Here is a 24,323-nt window from a genome sequence, read left to right as displayed (position 1 = left end):
AAGTCATGTTATGCTGGCTGAGGCCAGGCAAGTGAATATGGCAGGTGAGTATGGCTGTCAGGTTGATAATGTCGGTTGCAGAATGCCTACTGGTTGAGGCCAGTAGTTGAACAAGGCCAAGTGGGTAAGGCCAAGAAAATACAGCCATGTGGGAAGGCCAATAGGTGAAGTCCAAGAAAGTAAAGCAAGGGGCTGGGACAGCGAATAATGACACTAGGTTAAGGTCAGTAGGGCTGGGACAGCTAAGTAAAGCCAGAAGGTTGAGACTAATTGTGAAGGCCAACTGGGTAAGCCTGGGTAGGTAAGATCAGTTGGGTAACTCTAGTTGGTAAAGATATGATGTTAAAGCCAGTAGGGTAAAGCCAGGTGGGTAAGCCAGGTGCACAAGGCCAGGGGATTAATACTGCATGAGTGAGGCCAGTAGCTTAACAAGGTAGGTGGGTAAATCTAAGTTGGCAAAACCATGAAGTTAAGGCCAGGTCAGGAAGCCAAGCTATTTAAAAGGCCAGATAGGTAAGGCCAGTAAGTTAAGGCCTCCCTGCATACAACTAGGTGGCTGAGTTTAAGTGGGTAAAGAGGATGTCCATGTGAGTAAGAATGGAAAGATAAGGCCAGGTTGGTAAGCTCAGTTGGTAATCCAGGTTGGTAAAGCCATGAGTTTAATGCCAGTTGGGTAACTCCAGATGGGTTTAGAAGGGTATCTAAGTCTGGGGAGGGGAAATATAGAGAATAATGGAAGGTGGATAAGTCCAGAGGAGTCAACCTAGGCAGATAAATCCAGTGGAGTAAGGCCCGGGGATTAAGGCCTGTAGATAAAACCAGAAGGTTAAGGACATTTGGGTAAGGCCCATAGGGTTAAGCCAGGTGGGGAAGTCTAATGGGGTGTGCCCAGTGTGGTAAAATGAGGCGGGTAAGGCCAGGGTGTAAGACCTCATGGATAAGATCAGTTGGATACTGACCAGATAATGAAGCCAGCAAATTAAATAGCTGGTTATAAACAGGTGGATAATGGCAGGATGTTATGGCCAGGCTGGTAAGCCCAGTTCTTCTAGGCCAGAAAATTAAGACTGGGTAAATAAGGCCAGGAATTTAATAAGGCCAGGTGGATAAAGCCAGATTATGAGGCTAAGATAAGGTGATTAAGGCCATCAAGTTAATAACATCTGGTGAGTAAATCCAGATTGTTAAAACCAGGTGTTTAAATCCAGCTGAATAAAAAACTATTTGGTTAACACACCAGGCCGGTAAATCAATGGGGAAACTTCCCAGAGGATCAAGGCCAAGTCGGTAAGCCAGCTAAATGACAGGAGGCTAATTATACGTGAATGGGACACAGAGGGAACTGTTTAGAGATGAAGTCTCACTGAGTCAAGGTAGGTGGTTAACACCAGATGGATATAAGACCAGAAGATTAAGTCATGCTGGGTGAGGTCAGGCAGGCAAGTATGGTCGTATCTTTAAGAAGGCCACGTGGGTAAGGCCTAGTGGGTCGGGCTGGAAGGTGAATAAAGCCAAGTGGTTAAGGCCAGGTAGTGAAGGCCAGCTCTGTAAAGCTATGTGGTTAACATCAGGTGTGTAAGTTGAAGAGGTTAAGGTAGGTGGGTAAAATTCAGTTTGTAAGGACAGGAGATTAAGGCCAAAAGATTAAGGTCACATGGGTAAGGCCAGAGGTTAAGGCCAGGAATCTATAGCTGTGTGGGTCTGACTGGAATGTTAAAGGACAGCTGTGAAGACTCTGTGAACGAGGCTGGGAGGTTCAAACCCAAAGGTTAAAATCAGGTGAATAACATCAGCTGTTTGAGGTCGAGTGGGGATGTCTGAGAAGTTAAGGCCAGCCAGGCAATGCCAGGAAGTTAATGTCAGGTAGGCATGTCCTGGAAGTTGAGTTTTTGGCCAGGTCTGAGCCATACCTTGGTTCCACGTTCAACAACTGTAGTATTCCTCGCTTATCTGCAGTTTCACTTTTTATGGTTTCAGTTCTGCTCTGTCCTGTTAGGGACATCAATTATCCATTTGTCCAGCATAATTGGACAACGATTGATGTGTTTGAGTAATCTTTATTTTGTTTAATAACGGTCCCTGGCCAGGCATGATGGCTCTAGCCTGTATTCCCAGCACTTTAGGAGGTCAAAATGAGCCTAGGATCACTTGGAACATGCGAGTTTCAGATCAGCCTGGGCAACATAGTGTGAGGCCACCTCTACAAAAAATTATTTTAAAAACTAGCCAGGCTGGGCATGGTGGCTCACGCCCGTAATCCCAGCACTTTGGGAGGCTGAAGTGGGAAGATCACAAGGTCAGGGGTTCAAGACCAGCCTGGCCAACATGGTGAAACCCCATCTCTACTAAAAAACACAAAAATTAGCCAGTGTGGTGGCGCATGCCTGTAGTCCCAGCTACTCAGGAGGCTGAGGCAGGAGAATCGCTTGAACCCAGGAGGCAGGGGCAGAGGTTGCAGTGAGCCAAGATCATGCCACTGCACTCTAGCCTGGCACAGGCTGAGACTCTCACAGAGTGAGACTCTGCCTTAAAAAAAAAAAAAATTACCCAGGCATGGTGGTGCATGCCTGTGGCCCCAGCTACCTTGGAGGCTCAGGTGGGAGTACTGCTTGAGCTTGGAGATCAAGGCTGCATTGAGCCATGAGTATGCCACTGCATTGCAGCCTGAGAGACAGAATGAGATCCTGCCTCATAAATAAATAAATAATGTTCCAAAGCAAATGAGTAGTGATAGACATATTGTCCTAATTGTTCTACTTTACTCTTGTTGATCTGTCACTGTGCTTAATTTCATAATTAACCTTTAACATAGGTATGTATGTACAGAAAAAGAGCAGTATATCTAGAGGTCAGCATTAGCTGTGGTTTCAGGCATGCTCCGGGGTCTTGGAACACATCTCAGAGGATGAGAGGGGACTACTTACTGTACAGTGTGAGGGGATCAGCTCCTCATCTTCAGCTTCCCCTACTTCTCATGGGTATGCTCCCTGTCTCTGAACATTGGTCTGGGTGGGTATCTGTGAAGCTCTTAGTGCAGCACATGTAAGGCCACTATTTCAAGTTAGCGCCTCTCTTGCACTATCACCGTCATGGTCTACTGGAGTCACTGGGACTAACCTGCACACTGGACAAACAGTACCTGTCAAAGGATGGCTGCCTTCTCACTTGATCAGTGTCAAGGCCACGCTGGCCCCCAGGTCCCCTGCAGATCACTGTTCTCCATGACAACCCCATTTCATAACTCCATAAGAGGGTCATTTTGCTACTGACTTCTTTCTTCACCATGACAACTTAGGAATGAAGGGACACTGTGTAAACTGCACAGGGTCAGGGACTGCAAGTAGGAGGTGGTGGCGTTCCCTGCCTTTGGTAGGAAATTGGGTTTACACACTGGTGGATATGGGTGGAGCTGAGCCTGCTCCTCATCCCGGTGGCAGCAGAAATACCTCAGAAACGGGATCTGTTCACTGCCTAGTGCTGGGTCTTGCCCCAGTGGAACTCCAGCAAGTTGGGCCCCATCACAGAGAGACAATGCCCGAGGATGCAGCACCCTCACACACTGTTGTTGCTCAAAGAAATCAGTTTCTAGTAGAGTAGGTCCTCTGCAACCTGGGATTCAAACAACCTTGGATCAAATATATTCGGAAAAATAAACACAATAAAAATAACAACAACAAAAAAAATACAAGCAAAAAAACTATAATACCTATTTACACAGCAAAAAATTGCCTCTACCACACTCCTGACAATCTTGTGTGAGTCTCACGGAATCCGAGGCCCTGGTTTGTAACCTCCCATGTCCTATCCTATGTGAGTCTGGTTCTCTACTGTCACTTTAGACATTAAAATGGTCCAAGGTCATCCAACAGCTTAATCGATGAACACCATTATCAATACAAGAATATACATCCAATTATAGGCTCATTATGATTTAATATTAAGTTAGTCTTACAGGTTAATGTTTAGTCAATCATACAACCACAAAGATGGACTTGAAAAAGTTATTTGTTACACCACCTGAAACATGCCATTCACAGGAGTCTTTCTTCCTAACATTTTGTAGCACATAGGCCATCACCTACAAGAACTTGATAATGAGCATCAAAACACAAATTGTTATATTTTTTAAATATGTTGCTGAAATTACTATTATTTTAAAGATAAGTGCTCTGGACTTATTTTCCTATGAAGAATTTATACTCAAGATGCAAACCTACCAAGAAGTCAAGCTGTCAAAAAAATCAGTGTATAAACTGATGGCAAATGTAGTCAGCTATAACTATCCTTAATTTAGCTTAGAAAAACCATGCTCAACCATTTGTGTTTGTAGTTACTGGAAATAAAAGTTAAGTATTCTCTTCTATCTTTTATTAAACTATATCATTAGTAGCGGCAATAAAAGTAAAACACGTGTTCCCAAAAAACATCACTGCTGGAAAAAGCCAAAGCAATTAAATATGAGAACTAAACATTTGTTTTTTTTTCTTTTCTCTTTTTGAGGTGGAGTTTCACTCTTGTTGCCCAGGCTGGAGTACAATGGTGTGACCTCGGCTCACTGCAACCTCCGCTTCCTGGGTTCAAGCGATTCTCCTGCCTCAGCCTCCCAAGTAGCTGGGATTACAGGCATCTGCCACCACACCCGGCTAATTTTTTTGTATTTTTATAGAGATGGGGTTTTGTCATGTTGACCAGGCTGGTCTCGAACTTCTGACCTCAGGTGATCCACCCACCTCAGCCTCCAAAGTGCTGGGATTACAGGCATAAGCCACCGCGCCTGGCCGAAAACTACAAATTTGAATATGATGACTTTGCTTCATTTAGCACATCTTTCTAGTGCTCACTGAGTGCCAGGCTTTACAAATGCCACTGACTTAAACTCAGTCGCAACCCTGGAAGGGGGTCCTATTACTGCCATCTTTTTAAAAAAATGCACAAGTGACCACAATTCTCATAACCCTGAAGTTGCACTCATTGTCCACACAACAGGTGCAAACTCCTAAGCAAGAAAGAGACTGTGCAGAAAGGAGATGGTGCCCCGCCCACCCTGCCTCCCACTACTGCCCCCACAGCTTCCCCTCCCAGACACTCAACACCCTGGCCACAGGGCCCTGTGGTGACTGCACCCGTGTGCTCAGCCCAGGAGACTCTTCCTCTGGAGATCCATAGGACCCCAAGGAAGGCACTGATGAAAGGAGGTGTGAAGACAGTCCAGTTACTCTGGAAGGTCCCTGTGTGGAAGGAATGTGGGGTCAGCACACAGGTGGAAGAGCAGCCACACTGGGCACAAACCCACAACCTCAGTGTGGCCTGTGCAAGCCTCCCACTTCTGTTCACCCCTCCCGGCTTGACTCTTCTCGCACTTTGTAATTTACTGTACACTTTCCTTATTCTTTATTGCCTATTATTCCCCAACTGAAGTATAAACTCTGTAAGGGCAGGAATTTTGCCAGGTAAGAAAAGTGCAGAAGCAAGTGCCTTGCAGTCTGGATGGAACAGGCCTGGGAGGGGTCACGGAGATACAAGCAGTGAGTCGAAAACTTCTTAAAGGGCTGTCTCATAAATAATTCAGGCTTGAGGACCCTCGGGTCCTCATCACAAGTTCTTATCTATGCCACTGTGACAAGAAAGCATCCAAAGATGATCGTAAACAAATCATCATGGTTGAGTTCTAATAAGACAATGTTCCAATAAAAAACTACTGATAACAACAGGTGGTGGGCGGGATCTGGCCCCAGGCAGTGGCTTCCTAACTGAAATGCAGATGATGTTCCAGCACAGAAGTAAGAAAACACCAAGATGAGGGCCAAATAACAGTATGGAAGAGAAGAGGTTTTAGTAAGTATAATTAATGACAGAAAAATCTGAAAATGAGGCCACAGAACAAGAACATTACAACCAATCTAATTTGTAGATATTTATTACCAGGCACACTGAAAACATCTACTAATGAGGAACTGGAGACAAAGCCATACATGGACACATTAGCAATCTGCACATATTACTGGCCACACTGCCTCAGAAACGCATATGATAAGGTTAGGGCCCACTCTGACCAAGTTTTTACCCACACATACATCTCAGCTCCATAACCAGCATCATGATTAACTAGTCAAAGGTCAAAAGCATGAGACAGGCAGGAATGCTGAAGCCACCTGATGACAGCTGCACCAGTTCCACAAGATAACAGAAAGACACATACAAATTCATCACTCTTTGCCTCCATGAACATCAATAGAAAAAATATTATATCAATGGCTTTCCTGTACATGACCAATAACATGGTAGAAAAAATAAAAAATTAAATCCTTTTCACAATAGCCATCCAAACACAAATTACCCAGGAATAATTGTAATATTAAAAAAGTATGCAGAGCCAAGAAGAAAGCTACCTGACTTCACTGAGGGATACATTTAATGACTGGAAGAAACATATCCCATGTTATAAAGCAGGAAACACTAATACTGCAAATTAAAATGCATAATACCTGCACTTTTAATCAATACCACAAATGATGGGTGTGATTTTAAGGAGCTGAGAAACAGATTTAGGGCCGGGTGCAGTGGCTCACACCTGTAATCCCAGCACTTTGGGAGGCCAAGGCAGGCAGATAATTTGAAGTCAGGAGTTTGAGACTAGCCTGGCCAACATGGCGAAACCCCGTCTCTACTAAAAATACAAAAATTAGCCAGTGTGGTGGCAGGCACCTCTAATCCCAGCTACTCGGGAGTCTGAGGCAGAAGAATCGCTTGAACCCAGGAGGCGGAGGTTGCAGTGAGCCAAGATCGTGCCACTGCACTCCCGCCTGGGCGACAGAGCGAGACTCTGTCTCAAAAAAATGAAATAAAATAAAATATCCAACACACAATGAAAAGATACCCAAGCAGACAGGAAGGAAAAGTCATGACCAAAAAGCACAGCCACAAAAACAGACACACAGGGATCAGGATAATGAAATCGCCAGGAGTAAACCCTAAAAAATCTATAATATGTCCAAGCTATTAAAGCTCAAGGTTGAGAATTTCAGCAAAGGAACTAAAAGCCATAAAAGACATCAAAAGGAAGTTCCAGAGCAAAAAAAAAGTACATTAACTGTACAGTAAATCCTCACTTAATAGAAACTGTGTCTTTAAGCAAACCTACAAATAAAAGGAATCTTACCATAGGTTAATTAATATAAACCAGAGCTAAATTCCTCCAGCATATTTCTGGTCACAAAAACGTCACCAAACTTCTAAAGAAAGATTAAAAACCTTCCTAACATTATACATTAGAATAAATATGAGCTATATATCCACTGAAGGTTAATAAAAACAAGGCAATTACCAAATTTTTGGTGAATGAGTGCATGATGGTGATTATAGTGGTGATAGGTTAAATCAAGAATAGGCTGGGTGTGGTGGCTCACACCTGTAGTCCCAGCACTTTGGGAGGCCGAGCTGGGTGGACCACCTGAGGTCAGGAGTTTGAGACCAGCCTGGCGAATATGATGAAATTCCATCTGTACTGAAAATACAAAAATTAGCCAGGTGTGGTGGAACGTGCCTGTAGTCACAGCTACTTGGGAGGCTGAGACAGAAGAATTGCTTGAACCCGGGAGGCAGAGGCTGCAGTGAGCCGAGATTGCGCCACTGCAGTCCAGCCTGGGCAACAAAGAGAGACTCCATCTCAAAAATAAAATAAATAACATAACATAACATAACATAACATAACATAACATAACATATAAAATAAAATAAAATATAAAATAAAATAAAATAAAATAAAATAAAAATAAAATAAAATATAAAATAAAATAAAATAAAATAAATAAAATAAAATAAAATAAAATAAATAAAATAAAATAAAATAAAATATAAAATAAAATAAAATAAAATAAAATAAAATAAAAATAAAATAAAATAAAATAAAATATAAAATAAAATAAATAAAATAAAATAAAATAAAATAAAAAAATAAATAAAATAAATGTTTGCAAAGCCACAATTGGAGGGAGCACCTCCTACCACACCACGCAGTTACGATCACAAATATGGTGACTGGATGCTTTCAGATGACATTGTTTATTGTCATGCATTTGTGTAATTATCTTATGTTTTAGGAATTTTTATTTGATGATAATTTGTATTTATTCGTTTTCCAACCTGCTTATTGCACTTCAGGGTCTCAGGTAGCCGGAGCCTATCCCAGTGGCTCATGGCACAAGGCGCAAACCGACCCCGGCCAAGACGCCATCCCATAGCAGGGAGCTCTCACATATGCCCACCCTCACTCACTGAGACTGCGACTAGAGACCCACCAATTCACCTCAGGGGTGCAGCTTAGGATGTGGGAGGAAACCTGAGTACCAAAAGAAAACTCGCAGACAAGAGGAGAACATGCAAACAAGACCTAGACAGCGGCCGTGGCCCTGGTTGACAGCTGAGGTGTTTTCTCATCAGTGTTATAACAAAATGAAGTGATTTGAGGACCTGCTGTACATAAGACAAAGCTAGAGAAAATATCCAGGTTTCAGGAGTTCAAGATCAGCCTAGGCAACAGAATGAGATGCAGTCTCTGTAAAAATAATTTTTTAGGCCAGGCACAGTGGCTCACACCTGTAATTCCAGCACTTTAGGAGGCGAAGGTGGGCAGATCACATGCGATAAGGAGTTCAAGACCAGCCTGGCCAACATGGTGAAACCCTGTCTCTACTATAAAGTACCAAAATTAGTCAGGCGTGGTGGCAGGCACCTGTTATCCAGCTACTCGGGAGGCTGAGGCAGGAGAATTGCTTGAACCCGGGAGGCAGAGGTTGTAGTGAGCTGACATCATTCAGCTGCATTCCAGCTTCGGCAGCAGAGCAAGACTCTGTCTCCAGAAAAAAACAAACAAACAAACAGGGAAACAAACAAAAAAAACTAAGGCACATAAAATGATGTAAAAAGCCCTAACAAATGTGTAATTTGAGTGGAAGAAGGAAAAAGAGACTAGCGCAGAAGCAATATTCCAATAGAAATAGGCAGAACAATCAATCAATAACCTCTTCATCAAAAGAAACCCTTACAAATTTTTAAAAAGCAAGTCAAAGACAGGGACGACATACTTGCAATACATAGACATGAGCTAGGTGTATGTCCAAAATAGACAAAGAAGCCCTACAAATCACCACACAAAGACAAATAGCCCCTTGCTTTTTTAAGAGATGGGATCTTTTGCCCAGGCTGGTCATGAACTCTTGGCCTCAAGCTGTCATCCCATCTCGGCTTCCCAAAGTGCTGGGATTACGGGCGTGAGCCACCGCGCCCAGCCAAACAACCCACTCTTTTCAGTGGACAAGAGATTCTAACAGGCGTCTGATGATAAAGGTCATTTGAAAGCCAGCAAGCACAAGAAAAAGTGCTCAACATGCTTAATCACCATGCAACACAAATTGAAACCCCAATGCTAACCAACACACACCAAACAAAATGGCTAAAGGCTGTTGTACAGTGACATCACATGCTGGTAACCAAGAGGAGAAGGCTCCCACGGGCTGTGTGCTCTGGAAAACTGCTGGGCATGAGAGGGAGACCCCAAGGGGCTCACCAACTGCCCTACCACCCAGCTCTGCCACCCTGTTTAAATACTCAACAGGAGCACACACAGATGTACACCAAAGCCTGTGGCAAGATGCTCAAAACTAGTTTGTCATCACTGCCAAAAACGGGAAGTAATCAAACTCCTTTAACAGTGGAAGAACAGATCAAGGAGGTACATTCAGGAAACAAAGTATTGCTGTTGGAAGCATAGTTGACTTTTCATAGGCTTGACATTGAGCATGAGAAACGAACCCCCCAGAGGGAGGGCATTGCCCAGGAGGATCTTGTATGGCTTGTAGTGTCTCCTGGGTGGTAGTGACACAAGTGTGCAAGGTTTTTAAAAATCACTGAGCTCTATACTTAATAGCTGTGCATTCTATAGTATGTGATCATTCACATTCAGGTTTTTTCAGTCATAAGAATCCTTGGGAAAAATAGGCAAATACCTATAAAAGCAGTAATAACAAATGCAAAAATACAGTGGGGAAAAACTCACTGATAACAGCACTTCAAATATATATATAATAACCTATAAACTTATATGCAAGGTCAACATTTATAAAATGTTAAAACTTTCCTGAATATCATTATTTTTAAAACAAAAGAAAAACTTTACCCAAATGGGCAGTCAGACCATGCTTTGGATAAGAACTGTTAAGTCAATTAAAGCACAAACACCTCCTGAGAAAATACACAAAAGACCCAAAGCTGTAAAAACATAAGCCACTGCATTCTATCCCATTCATACCGAGAGAAATGCAAAGGAAAACCTCTACCGCTGGACTGGCAGAGATGTGAGCAGACAAAAACCTGGCTCTGGTGGCCGGCTCCTGCCCACACCCCCTAGTCCTTCCTCTGTGACTTCACCACCAAGAACCCGGCAAGAGGAGCTGTGACGACCCCCAGTTCTCCCACTTTCTCTCCCGTCCTGACCAAGAAACACCAGGTGCTTTGACTGCTCTGTGAGCTGGGCAGCTGCATTTCTCTCGCAGGCTTGAACCCAAGCTGGGGCCGTGAATATTCCCAGGCACTAAGCAAGATGTTTGGATTGTTACCCAAAATGCGGAAAGAAACTGGCACCAGCCCTGAGCCAAATTCCTGAACCTTTCCTATAAACTCCATACCGTGACACCCTTGACAGGGACATGCTTAAGCAGAACATCCTTTTCTCTGGGTGTCTATCCAGGCATATGCTACAGCACCCAGTAAGTTCCCCTAATGAACACTTTGGACCAATTGCCCTGGAGCTTGGTGCTTCCTTCTTTGGAGTCCCAACAAGTCCCATTTCCACATGGACTGGGGCACTCCCATGTGGGAATTCCTTTGCCAACAATTTTAGGGCAACTCCAGCTGGAGGTTCAGCCTGAGGAAATGAGAGCCAAATCCAATTCTAGTATATTCATCACAGATATGATTAAATAAAGACAAACTATTGCAAACTACCTAGATGTCTCTTCTGGCTGCTATACCAAAACACCTGCCTTACAAACAACAGATTATTTCTCACGGTTCTGGAGGGTAGAAGTCAGTGATCAGGGCCCACTTTCTGGTTGCTGAGTCCAACTCCTCGCTGAGTCCTCACAAGGTGGAACGAGAACAAGCTCATGCTGAGGCCTCCTTTAAGAGAATGTATCTTATTGCGAAGGCTCTGCCCTCAGGACCTTATCCATCCCTAATCGCCTCCCAAGGGCCCCACCTCCTAACACCATCCCTTTAGAAGGGTAGGGCTTCATTATGTAAATGACATTCAGTTCACAGTCCATCAACAGGATGGATTAAATGAGGGTACATCCAAATAGCATACCCACACAGCCACTGAAAAATAATCTAGACCCTGATACAAACAAGCTGTTCCAATTTTGAGACAACCTGGGGACTCCAAACACTGCCTATGTGACAATAATAATGAATTATTGTTAACTGTTTGGGTTATTTTTTAAAAGTTCTCTGAGGCCGGATGTGGTGGCTCATGCCTGTAATCCTAGCACTTTAGAAGGCTGAGTTGGGTGGATCACCTGAGGTCAGGAGTTCGAGACCAGCCTGGCCAACATGGCAAAACCCCATGTCTACTAAAAATACCAAAAATTAGCTGGGCATGGTGGTGGGTACCTGTAATCCCAGCTACTTGGGAGGCAGAGGCAGGAGAATTGCTTGAACCTGGGAGGCGGAGGTTGCTGTGAGCTGAGATCTTGCCATTGCACTCCAGCCTGGGTAACAGAGACTCTGTCTCAAAAAATTAAAAAAAAATAAAAAAAAGTTCTCTTTGAAAGATACAAACTAGAATATGTAATGACTATTTAGTAAAATGATTACCCTGGCCATGCACAGTTATTTAAGACAGCGATGGGATGAAGGGCATCAGCACAATCTCTCTTCTTTTGTGTTCCTCTGAACGGTCCCACAAAAGCTCCTCCACCCCCTCCCCCACCCATCCAGATGGAGTCTTGCTCTGTCCCCCAGGCTGGAGTGCAGTGGCACGATCTCAGCTCACTGCAACCTCCGCCTCCTGAGTTCAAGTGATTCTCCTGCCTCAGCCTCCCAAGTAGCTGGGATTACAGGCATGTGCCGCCATGCCCAGCTAATTTTGTATTTTTAGGAGATGTGGTTTCTCCATGTTTGGTCAGGCTGGTCTCGAACTCCTCACCTCAAGTGATCCTCCTGTCTCAGCCTCCCAAAGTGTTGGGATTATAGGCATGAGCCACCACACCTGGCCTAGCTTGGAAAAATTTGCACATGATCTAGGAGGTTGCATTAAGGGTCTTTAAAGGTCTTTTATGTTCTAAGCCAGGCGTGGTGGCTCGTGCCTGTAATCACAGCACTTTAGGAGGCTGAGGCAGGCAGATCTCCTAAGGTCAGGAGTTCGAGACCAGCCTGGCCAACATGGTGAAACCCTGTCTCTACTAAAAATACAAAAAATGGTGAGGCATGGTGGTGGGGGGGCTGGAATCCCAGCTACTCAGGAAGCTGAGGCAGGAGAATCACTTGAATCCAAGAGACAGAGGTTGTGCAGTGAGCCGAGATCTCTCGCCATTGCACTGCAGCCTGGTCAACAAGAGCAAAACTCTGTCTTAAAAAAAAAAGAAAAAGGTATTTTACGTTCTGTATCCATTCATCCATTCGACAGAAATCAAAATTGGACATTTCAGCTATGGTTTAAACAAGAAACTGGAAGAAGTGGATCGACTCTCCAAGAATGAGTTTTATGTCTATAGACAAAAGATTGCAAACTAAGGCTGGGTGCGGTGGCTCATGCCTATCATTCCAGCACTTTCAGAGGCTGAGGCGGGCAGATCACTTCAGTCCAGGAATTCGAGACCAGCCTGGGCAACATGACAAAACCCCGTCTCTACAAAATATACAAAAAAATGGACCTGTAGTCCCATCTACTTGGGAGGCTGAGGTGGGAGGATTGTTCCAGCCCAGGAAGTTGAGGATGCATTCACCTGAGACTGCGACCCTGCACTCCACGCACTCCAGCCTGAGTGACAGAGCTAGACTCTATCTCAAAAAAAAAGATTGCAAAGTGAATATGCTGTTGTTTAAATTTAAAATGAAGTGTTTAGATATGTATCATATTTTATTATTTTCCACATTAACTCATTTCTTCAATAACTAAACATCTATGATTCCCTAACATATAAAATAAATATATACAGCTTCTAAAAACATGGTGGAAGGCCAGGCACAGTGGCTCACACCTGTAATCCCAGCACTTGGGGAGGCCAAGGTGGAAGGATTACTTGAGCCCAAGAAATTGAGACCAAACTGGGCCACACAGGAGGACCCTGACTCTACAAAACAATTTTAAAATAATTAGCTGAGCATGGTGGCATGCACCTGTAGTCCCAGCTACTTGGGAGGCTGAAGTGAAAGGATCACTTGTGCCCAGGAGTTCGAGGCTGCACTGAGCTATGATTATGCCACTGCACCCTAGCCTGGGTGACAAAGTGAGATCCTGTCTCAAAAAAAAAAAAAAAAAAGAATAAAAAACAAAAAATAAAACATGGTAGAAAAAATGACTGATAGGGTAAAATACTGATAATACATTTAAGTGAAAAGGAAGATTAGAACAAAATGTCCAGTACATTCACATCTTAGTAAAGTATGCCTTTGTTACATATGACTAAATAGAAATCCAACAGGAGTATACTACAAAATCCTAACAGTTCCTCCCAGACATGAACTAAAGATAATTTTATTTTCTTCCTTTTGCTTTCCTAGGATTTCCAAATCTTCTAAAACTAAGATTACTTTTATTTCTTCCTCTTTTTTTTTTTTCTGAAACAGAGTCTCACTCACTGTCACGCAGGCTTAAGTGCAGTGGTGTGATCTTGGCTCACTGAAACCTTTGCCTCCCAGGATCAAGTGATTCTTCTGTCTCAATCTCCAAAGTAGCTGGGATTGCAGGCATGCGCCACCACACCCAACTAATTTTTGTATTTTTAGTAGAGACGAAGTTTCACCATGTTGGCTAGGCTGGTTTGAACTCCTGGCCTCGAACTCCTGGCCTCAAGTGATCTGCCTGCCTCGGCCTCCCAAAGTGCTGGGATTACAGGCATGAGCCACCACATCTGGCCTAAGACCATTTTTATAATCAAAAGAAATATTACTTGTTTTTGTTAGTCTTTCAAATTCTTCTTGTGGAAATGCCACTAAATGGATAATCAAAAAATGATTGTGACACAAAAGGCCTTTGGCGCTACATGAGCCCATGGAGGTCACTCAGTGAGATGAAAACTCAGTTTCTGTGGCGAATAGACTGCAGTGACACAGAATAAACCTGGGCATGACTGAATTTCCTCTGCAGGGTAAACCACAGGGGAGCACACAGCACCCTTGTCACCCGGGAGTGGGAGGACACCGAGGAGGAAGGGAGGCAGGGCAGAGCTGGGGAAAAGCTCTAGAAAGGTCAGAGCCTGGGTTGATCCTGTTCAGATTTCTGACTTCTTTCTGCTCATCCTCTATGAGAGCTGCTCACACTGTCTCCTTTTCTCAGACCCTAGGGCCTAGGTGACAAAATGTTATTTAACGAGAGATCAGGGTGCACAGGACAAGCACCTGTGTTAAAAGGTGCTGTATCCTAGAACCACAGGGGACCCACAGTGGTTTCATTCCATCAAATAAATTCTTTTTGGATGGTGTAAATAATAGGATTTGATGAAAAGGGCCCTAAGTTCCAATGATAGAATTTGATAGGAAAACATAGATACAACAGTTAATTTAGTTTTTGAGATAGGGTCTCCCTCTGTTGCCCAGACTGGAGTGCAATGGCACAATCACGGCTCACTGCAACCTCCACCTCCCAGGTTCAAGTGATCCTCCCACCTCAGCTTCCTGAGTAGCTGGGACTACAGGCGCTGTCACCACACCTGGCTGTGTGTGTGTGTCTCGATGGGGGGGGTCTCTCTATGTTGCCCAGGCTGGTCTCGAACTCCTGGACTCAAATGATCTTCCTGCTTGGGTCTCCCACAATGCTGGAATTGCAGGTATGAGCCATCACGCCCAGCTTTGAATTCTTAAAATTACCTGTACCACATGTGAATAGAATTTGTGAACTATGCAGGAACTTTAAGTCATAATCGGCATCCACCTGAGAACCTCATAGCAGAGTAAGGCTTTTGCAGGAATCTCAGCCAGCCTAGTAAATATTCACTGAACTCTGACTCTTTTCCAGGCCCTGTGCTGTGTACAAAGATGCAGATTCCATAGTAGTTGTCAATATCCCACTAACTATGATCGTTTGAGTAGAAGGTGCCTGGGGGTAAGTGGTCAACTCCAATATCTAACTCAGACAATGTGGACCGCCAGCCCATCTGGCACCAACCCCCTAGGTACTCTTAAGACACTTGCCAATTCTCTGAGCAACACTTGAGAAACCTAGTCCCTGATAAACAACAGCAGAAAGCTACACTGCAAGCCAATCTAAATATCAATTCCAACTGTAAATTTTCTAATTGTTTGACAATGAAAAAATATACAATTTAAATAATACCAGGAACAGGCTGGGCGGTGGCTCATGCCTGCAACCTGCAGCACCTTGGGAGGCCAAGGTGGGCGGATAACTTGAGGTCAGGAGGTCGAGACCAGCCTGACTAACATGGTGAAACCTGGTCTCTACTAAAAAAAATAACAAAAATTAGCTGAGGGTGGTGGCATGCGCCTGTAATCCCGGTTACTCAGGAGGCTGAGGCCCGAGAATCACTTGAACCCAGGAAGTGGAGGTTCCAGTAAGCCAAGATTGTGCTGCTGCACTCCAGCCTGGGCAACAGAGTGAGACCCTGTCTCCAAAACATAAATAAATAAATAAATAATACCAAGAGTGAAGAGCTTTAAAAACAAGATGTATGTAAGGCTGGGCGCAGTGGCTCACGCCTGTAGTTTCAGCAATCTGGGAGGCTGAGGCGGGCGAATCACCTGAGCTCACGAGTTTGAGATGAGCCTGCTCAACATTGTGAAACCCCATCTCTACTAAAAATAGAAAAATTAGCTGGGCGTGGTGGGGGGTGCCTGTAATCCCAGCTATTCAGGAAGCTGAGGCAGGAGAATCGCTTGAGCCCGAGAGTTGGAGGTTGCAGTGAGCCGAGATCGTGCCATTGTGGCCCAGGCTGGAATGCATGAGTGAGACTCCATCTCAAAGAAAAAGAAAAAGAAAGAAAAAAAGGCCAGGAACGGTGGCTCACGCCTGAACTCCCACCACTTTGGGAGGCCGAGGTGGGCGGATCATGAGGTCAGGAGTTTGAGATCAGCCTGACCAACATGGTGAAACCCCATCTCTACTAAAAATACAAAAATTAGCCAGGCGTGGTGGTGGGCACCTGTAATCCCAGCTACTCAGGAGGCTGAGGCAGGAGAATCACTTCAAAATCCAGGAGGCAGAGGTTGTGCACTGAGCCGAAATCTCTTGCCACTGCACTATTGCACTCCAGCCTGGGCGACAAGAGCGAGACTCCATCTCAAAAAAAAAAAAAAAAAAGCCAGGTGCGCCAGGTGTGGTGGCTCACGCCTGTAATCTCAGCACTTTGGGAGAGCAAGGCGGGCGGATCATGAGGTCAGGAGTTCAAGACCTGCCCGACCAACATGGCAAAACCCCATCTCTACTGAAAATACAAAAATTAGCCAGGCATGGTTGTGCGTGCCTGTAATCCCAGCTACTCAGGAGGCTGAGGCAGAAGAATCGCTTGAATCTGGGAGGCAGAGCTTGCAGTGAGCTGAGATCGAGCCACTGCACTCCAGCCTGGGCAACAGAGCAAGACTCAAAACAAAAAACAAAACAGATACATGTGGAAAAATTCACCAAAAGAGCATTGAATTTAAAATGAAATGTTTAGATATGGATTGCTTTTTCTTATTTCCCGTATTACCTCCCGTATTACCTCAATTTGTCAGTAAGTATCAGGCTGGGGGTGATGTCTCATGCCTGTAATTCCAGCACCTTGGGAAGCCCAGGCAGAAGGAGTGCTTAAGCTCAGGAGTTTGAGGTCAGCCTGGGCAACACGGCAAGACTTCATCTCTACAAAACATAAAAATAAAAAAAAAATTAGCCAGGTGTGGTGGCATGCACCTGTAGTCTCAGCTACTTGGGAGGCGAGATAGGACGACACTTGAGCCGGGGAGGTCGAGGCTGCAGCGAGCTGTGATCGTATCACTGCCTGGGCCACAAAGTGAAACTCTGTTTCAGAAAACAACAAACAAAAACCAGTTCTCCACCATGCCAAATAAAACACTGGGAACCAGAAATAAAGAAGTGGAAGTCTCACCTCAGGGGTGGCTATTCCTAGCATCTTGCTAGATTTTTAAAGGTACTCAGTAATACATTACAGCTGAAGAGTGAAGCATGTTTTTTTGTTGTTGTTGTTTTCCAAGACAGAGTCTTGCTCTGTCACCCAGGCTGCAGTGTAATGGCACCATCTCAGCTCACCGCAACCTGCGCCTCCCAGGTTCAAGTGATCCTCCTGCCTCAGCCTCCCGAGTAGCTGGGACTACAGGCTTGCACAACCATGCCCAGCTATTTTTTGTATTTTTAGTAGAGACGGGGTTTCACCATGTTAGCCAGGATGGTCTCGATCTCCTGAGCTCGTGATCCGCCCGCCTCAGCCTCCCAAAGTGCTGGGATTATAGGCGTGCAAGCTGCACCTGGTCCCTACTCCCGGCTACTTTTAACATTTTTTCTGGCCGGGCTCAGTGGCTCACCCCTGTAATCCCAGCACTTTGGGAGGCCGAGGCGGGCAAATCATAACGTCTGGAGCTCGAGACCAGCCTGGCCAATATGGTGAAACCCCATTTCTACTAAAAGAAAAACAAAGAAAAGAAAAAAAAAAAGAATTAGCCAGGCTGGATGGCAGGCGCCTGTAGTCCCACCTACTTGGGAAGTTGAGGCAGGAGGATTGCTTGAACCTAGGAGGCAGAGGTTGCAGCGAGCTGAGATCATGCTGTGTTCAGAATTGGTGCGTTCTTGGTCTCATTGACTTCAAGAATGAAGCTGCGGACCCACGTGGTGAGTGTTACAGTTCTTAAAGGCGGCATGTGGCGAGTTTGTTCCTTCTGATGTTCGGAGTTTCTTCCTTCTGGTGGGTTTGTGGTCTCGCGGACTCAGGAGTGAAGTTTCAGATCTTCGTGGTGAGTGTTACAGCACATAAAGGCAGTGAGGACCCAAAGAAAAAGCAGCAGCAAGATTTAGCGCAAAGAGTGAAAGAACAACGCTCCCACAACAAGCAAGGGGAGGAGTTGCCACTCTTGCTTCTGGCAGCCTGCTTTTATTCTTATCTGGCCCCACCCACATCCTGCTGATTGGTCCATTTTACAGAGAGCCAATTGGTCTGTTTTACAGAGAGCTGATTGGTCCGTTTTGACAGGGTGCTGATTGGTGCGTTTACAATCCCTGAGCTAGACACAAAAGTTCTCCAAGTTCCCACTAGATTAGCTAGATACAGAGTGCTGATTGGTGTATTTACAAACCCAGAGCTAGACACAGAGATTCTCCAAGTCCCCACCAGATTAGCTAGATACAGAGTGCCGATTGGTGCAACCACAAACCTTGAGCTAGACACAGAGTGCTGATTGGTGCATTTACAAACCTTGAGCTAGATACAGAGTGCTGATTGGTGTATTCACAATCCCTCAGCTAGACATAAAGATTCTCCAAGTCCCCACCACATTAGCTAGATACAGAGTGCTGATTGGTGTATCCACAAACCCTGAGCTAGACACAGGGTGCTGATTGGTGTGTTTACAAACCTTGAGCTAGATACAGAGTGCCCATTGGTGTATTCACAATCCCTTAGCTAGACATAAAGGTTCTCCAAGTCCCCGCTAGACTCAGGAGCCCAGCTGGCTTCACCCAGTGGACCCTGCACAGGGGCTACAGGTGGAGCTGCCTGCCAGTCCCTCACCTGCGCCTGCACTTCTCAGCCCTTGGGCGGTCTATGGGACTCCGTGCTGTGGAGCAGGGGGCGGCACTCGTGGCGGGGGCTCAGGCCACGCAGGAGCCCAAGGTAGGGGGCGGGGCGGAGACTCAGGCATGGTGTGCTGCGGGTCTGGAGCCCTGCCCCGCGGGGAGGCAGCTAAGGCCCAGCGAGAAATCGAGCACAGCGCCAGTGGGCCAGCACTGCTGGGGGACCCAGCGCACCCTCCACAGCTGCTGGTCCGGGTGCTAAGCCCCTCACTGCCTGGGGCCGGCAGGGCCGGCCAGCTGCTCCGAATGTGGGACCCGCCAAGCCCACGCCCACCTGGAACTCTAGCTGGCCCGCAAGTGCCGCCTGCAGCCCCGGTTCCCACCCGTGCCTCTCTCTCCACACCTCCCCGCAGGGTGAGGGAGCCGGCTCCAGCCTCGGCCATCCCAGGAAGGGGCTCCTACAGTGCAGCGGCAGGCTGAAGAGCTCCTCAAGTGTGGCCAGAGTGGGCGCCGAGGCCGAGGAGGTGCCAAGAGTGAGCGAGGGATGCGAGGGCTTTGAGGGCTGCCAGCACGCTGTCACCTCTCAACACCACTGCACTCCAATCTGGGTGACAGAGTGAGACTCCCTCTCAAAAAAAAAATTTTTTTTTTCTTAGAGACAAGATCTCACTATGTTGCCCAGGCTGGTCTTGAACTCCTGGCCTCAAGGCATCCCTCTGCCTTGGCCTCCCACAGTGTTGGGAGTACAGGCATGAGCCACCATGCCCAGCCAAGAGAAGCATTTTTAAAATGAAATGTTACCTATTAGTCACCAAGGAGTTAGAATTATATTCATGTATGGCTGGAAAATATGGTGTGTATTTAAAAAAAAATTAGTGTTTTCTCTAGATATCTTTTATTAAAATATTCAAAGGTTTATGTGTGTTTTAGAAACAGAATAGTGGAAATAAGATTTACAGTTGATGCCAGAGCCCACACATGCCAGCTGACATCCACCTGACTTTCTCTGAAACTGACCCAATAGTCCCATTGGCAGTTTTTTTAAAATTAGAAACTTACCTTTCTGATCTAAAAGCTAGAAACCTATACTTGTTTTATCTGAGCTCCTTCCTCAGCAAAAGACCTCCAGGCCTCTCAAAAACTGTCAAAGACCTGAGGCTTAGCAGCTCATCGGCTCCAGACAATGAGACATCTAGTCCCTCCTTCTTCATGACTGCTTCTTTAATCCACCTGAGTTCTCATTTTCCCACACATGGTTGCATTACTCCCCTGCTACATAAACCCCTAATTTTAGTTGGTTAGGGGTGCAAATTTGAGCGTGATCTTTTACTTCCATGGCTGCAGCACCCAACTAAACCCTTCTTCTCTGGCAATGCTCACCTCTCAGCGATTGGCTTTCTGTGCTGTGAGCAGCAGGACCCAGGCCGAAGCCCTGGTGTCGTGGTAACAGCTGCACATCTGCATACATGTCTCTGCTGCTCTTCTTCAGCCTTCCTGCTGCACTTCACACCTCCCTATTCTGGCATCTCCTAATGCCCTGCTCTTCCTGGCCTGGCCCCTCATGCCTCATAGCGACTTCCCTGAGCAGGTCAGACCATGGCAGTGGTCACCACCTGGTCCTGCCTGGCACACAGGCACCCCGTAAAAGTTAAGTAAATGGATGTGGGAAAGAATGCAGTGAGACTATCGTTATATCAAGTGTTTCTACTTTGTTCACACAGTCAGGAATCTGCTCACAGGCCCATATACTATTATAAACCAAAATACATCTATCAGCCGGGCGTGGTGGCTCATGCCTGTAATCCCAGCACTTTGGGAGGCCAAGGTGGGTGGATTACCTGAGGTCAGGAGTTTGAGACCAATCTGGCCAACATGGTGAAACCCAATCTCTACTAAAAATACAAAAATTTGCTGGGTGTGGTGGTGCGCACCTGTAATCCTAGCTACTTGGGATGCTGAGGTGGGAGAATCGCTTGAACCTGGGAGGTGGAGATTGCAGTGAGTTGAAATTGCGCCATTGCACTCTAGCCTGGGTGGCAAAACCGAAACTCTGTCTCAAAAAACAAAAACAAAAACAGAATACATCTACCACAGGATGCATGAAAAGTTTCAAGTTCTTTTAGAAGGCATCTTAGCAAAAAGAATCCCTGAAGCACACTAGTGAGGTCCAGCATTTTAAGTAGAACCTCCGTACTGCTCAATCCCCTTCCCACTCCCCACCAACCCCACTCACAACCCTACTCACTCCCCACCATGCCAGCTCACTGTCCCATTTGGTGTCCCTTTTGTGTGATATCTTTTCCCACTGTTGGACACTACGGGCTGTGAAGTGCGTTGCTTGGTTTAAAAAAATGTAAGCCAGTGGTTCTACATGGTACACTATTTTTGTTCCATTCCTTTTATGGTGTTTTAAGCATTGTGCGTCTATTACTGGGTATGGAAAGTGCAATTGGGAGCAAGTGTCTATTCGTGTCAGGACCATTTTATAGTCTTCCAAGGTGACCAGCACTGAATGGCATCATATAGCTTATCTCTAAGCTCTGCATCAGGGACTTTCCCTGCAGGAAACCTGCCCTATAATCATCCGCAGTCTCTGTCTTTCCTGCTGGCAGACAGGACAGCTCTTGTTGGCATTTTATGCTTCTGAGGGTGCAGAAGAATATGTGTCTGTGATCACCCCTCTCTGCATGGCGGCTGCTCCCCAATGTCCACTCATTTCATGGGCCCAGTTGGCCACCTCGGGTGTACCATGATATCCACTTGGGGTTCCAATCACTTTCCAGTCTGGGAAAAAGGTTTTTCTGATGGGCATTAACATATCCTATTTAATGCATCCCTTAAATTCCCATATGATTTCCATAAGGCCATGTTCCATACGGACGCCCCTTTAACAATCCAGTTTTCCATTGTTCCTCTTCCTGACCACATGGCCAGCTATTGGCCAATGCCCATGAGTTGGAATGCACCTAGACTTCAGGGCTGTAAGTGTTGAAGTCTTCCATCACTGCAAGGAAAATAGCATGCAGTTCAGCTCACTGAGCTTTACTTGTTTTCAACCTCTTCAATTCGTTTTACCATCAGTTGGTTACATTGGCGAGCTTTCCAAACAGGATGCTGACCATCTACTTTAGAAGTGTTAATGTAAACCAAGGAGATTTTTGTTGGTCAGTGGAGAGGTGTTCATGAGGCATCATCAGCCACATGTCAATAGGATCTGGTAGCTCCTCAGATGGTTCCAAAGTTGGTCCTAGAGGTAATGAGCCTACCTGCTTGTGAATATGATGCAAACCTCTTTGCATTCCTCCAGTATCATGTTCCTGTATAAACCATTTCCATTTTATTACAGAGTCAGCTCTTCTGGGCAGTAACTTCCTCATTAGTGTTTCTCTGACATCACCCAAGACATCGTGGGTATTTCAGATCTTAAGAATATTTTATTCTTCAGTCATAGACTGCTTCAGTCATAGGAGCAGTTTCAATTAATGCCCCCCAAAATAGCAACCCAATAATTGTCTCTGAAATGAGACATACCGTATTGTCCCATCTGGAAATTTTCTGGTCCAAAATTCAAGTGCTCACCATTAGGCAGCACTCATGGGCTTTTACCATAGAATCTAGTCTGTGGAAATGCAATTTCAGATACAGGTGTCCCTGGGTATCTGTGGGGAATTAGTTCCAGGACCCCTCCCTAAGAGGATGCTAAAATCACAAGGGACTGAAGTATCTTTTTAAAATGACATAGCATTTGCATATAACCCATGTACATCCTTCCCTATACTTTAAAAAATCACTGGATTACTTAACAATAACTAACACAGAGAAAATGCTATGGAAATAGTTGTTCTATTATTTTAAAATTTGTATTTTTTTATTGTTGTTTTTAAAACATTTTCCAAATATTTCATGTGTGTATATATATGTGTGTGTGTGTGTGTGTGTGTGTGTGTGTATATATATATATATTTATGTATTAAGACAGGGTCTTGCTCTGTTGCTCAGGCTGGAGTGCAGTGGCATGATCATGACTCACTGTAGCCTCCATCTCTCAGGTTCAAGTAATCCTCCCACCTCAGCCTCCTAAGTAGCTGGGGCTACAGATGCACACCACCACACCATGCTTATTTTTGAATCTTGTTTCTTTTTGAATCTTGTTTCTTTTTGAAACAGGGTCTCATTATGTTTCCCAGGCTGGTCTTGAACTCCTGGGCTTAAGTAATCCACCCGACTTGGCCTCCTAAAGTGCTGGGATTACAGGTGTGAGCTATCACATGCAGCAGCAAATATTTAGACCTGAGGTTCCTTCAGTTTCCAGATATGAAGCCTGCAGATAAGAGTGCTGAATGAGGCCAGGTGAGGTGGCTCACGCCTGTAATCCCAGCACTTTGGGACGCCCAGGCAGGTGGATCACCTGAGGTCAGGAGTTCAAGACCAGCCTGGCCAAGATGGTGAAACCCCATCTCCACTAAAAATACAAAAATTAGCCGGGCATGATGGTGGGCGCCCGCAATCCCAGCTACTTGGGAGGCTGAGGCAGCAGAATCACTGGAACCCAGGAGACAGAGGTTGCAGTGAGCCAAGACCGCACCATTGCACTCCAGCCTGGACAACAAAAGCGAAACTGTCTCAAAAAAAAAAAAAAAAAAAAAGAGTGCTGACTAAACTTAAACTTCCAAAGTCATATCAGAGTGGACCATAAGGGCCTAATATATATCTAGACATCACTTCTTGAAATTCAGTCATAGAGTGCTATTATGATGGCTCCCATTCAACTATAGGCTTCCTTCAGACAGTCTTAATGGATAGGAGCTCGCACTCTTTCCAGATGCAGAACATGTCTTCCAAATCCAAACAACCCACCCGACACTGTGCTTCTCACTGAGTTCCAGTGGTAGGTAACAAAAGCAGTCTATTTTAGCTGCCTGTGGGATGTGATAGCTCCTGCCCAGGTTATTCCTGAGAATTTCATTGTTGATATGGACTCTGGGATCTTTGCTGGATTGGTCAACTAGCCTGTGTTAGTCATGACTGTCACTACTGCACTAAAGTCAATCCTGGCTTGTTTTTCAGTTTGTGATGTGATTGTAGCATTAGCGATGTAGCGTATTGACACAGCAGTAAACTGGTGAATTCAAATAACCATATGGCAATACAATGTAGTAGGCTGGAATCCTTCCCACATAAAGGCAAATCGTGTTTGACTCTTTTCTAAGATTGTGATACAGAAAAAACTTTTGCAAGACATTGTATTTTTTGCACTATTGAAACCATATCAGGAACTGCTAGTGCTGTAGGCAGGACTACTTTATTTTTATTTATTTATTTTTTATTTTTTTGAGACAGAATCTCAATCTGTCGCCCAGGCTATAGTGCAATG

At 45.2% G+C, this 24,323-nt stretch overlaps 1 long non-coding RNA gene across 1 annotated transcript in view, besides 1 other annotated feature; it reads left to right on the top strand.

Annotated features, from left to right (window-relative positions):
• Positions 1–24,323, top strand: part of IL12A-AS1 (IL12A antisense RNA 1) — a 293,693-nt gene that overhangs the window by 127,225 nt on the left and 142,145 nt on the right. The gene's annotated exons all lie outside the window — the stretch shown is intronic.
• Positions 2,909–3,408: an enhancer, noted in NCBI's record as "H3K4me1 hESC enhancer chr3:159794247-159794746 (GRCh37/hg19 assembly coordinates)". NCBI's record gives its function as "activates a minimal SCP1, AML or CMV promoter by ChIP-STARR-seq in primed H9 embryonic stem cells {active_cell/tissue: H9 hESC(primed)}" and the evidence as "EXISTENCE:reporter gene assay evidence [ECO:0000049][PMID:30033119]".

The sequence above is a fragment of the Homo sapiens genome, chromosome 3, assembly GCF_000001405.40.
Source record: "Homo sapiens chromosome 3, GRCh38.p14 Primary Assembly".
Classification (NCBI taxonomy): domain Eukaryota; kingdom Metazoa; phylum Chordata; class Mammalia; order Primates; family Hominidae; genus Homo; species Homo sapiens.
Note: the sequence above shows the minus strand (reverse complement) of the source record. Positions and strands in the feature narration are given on the sequence as shown.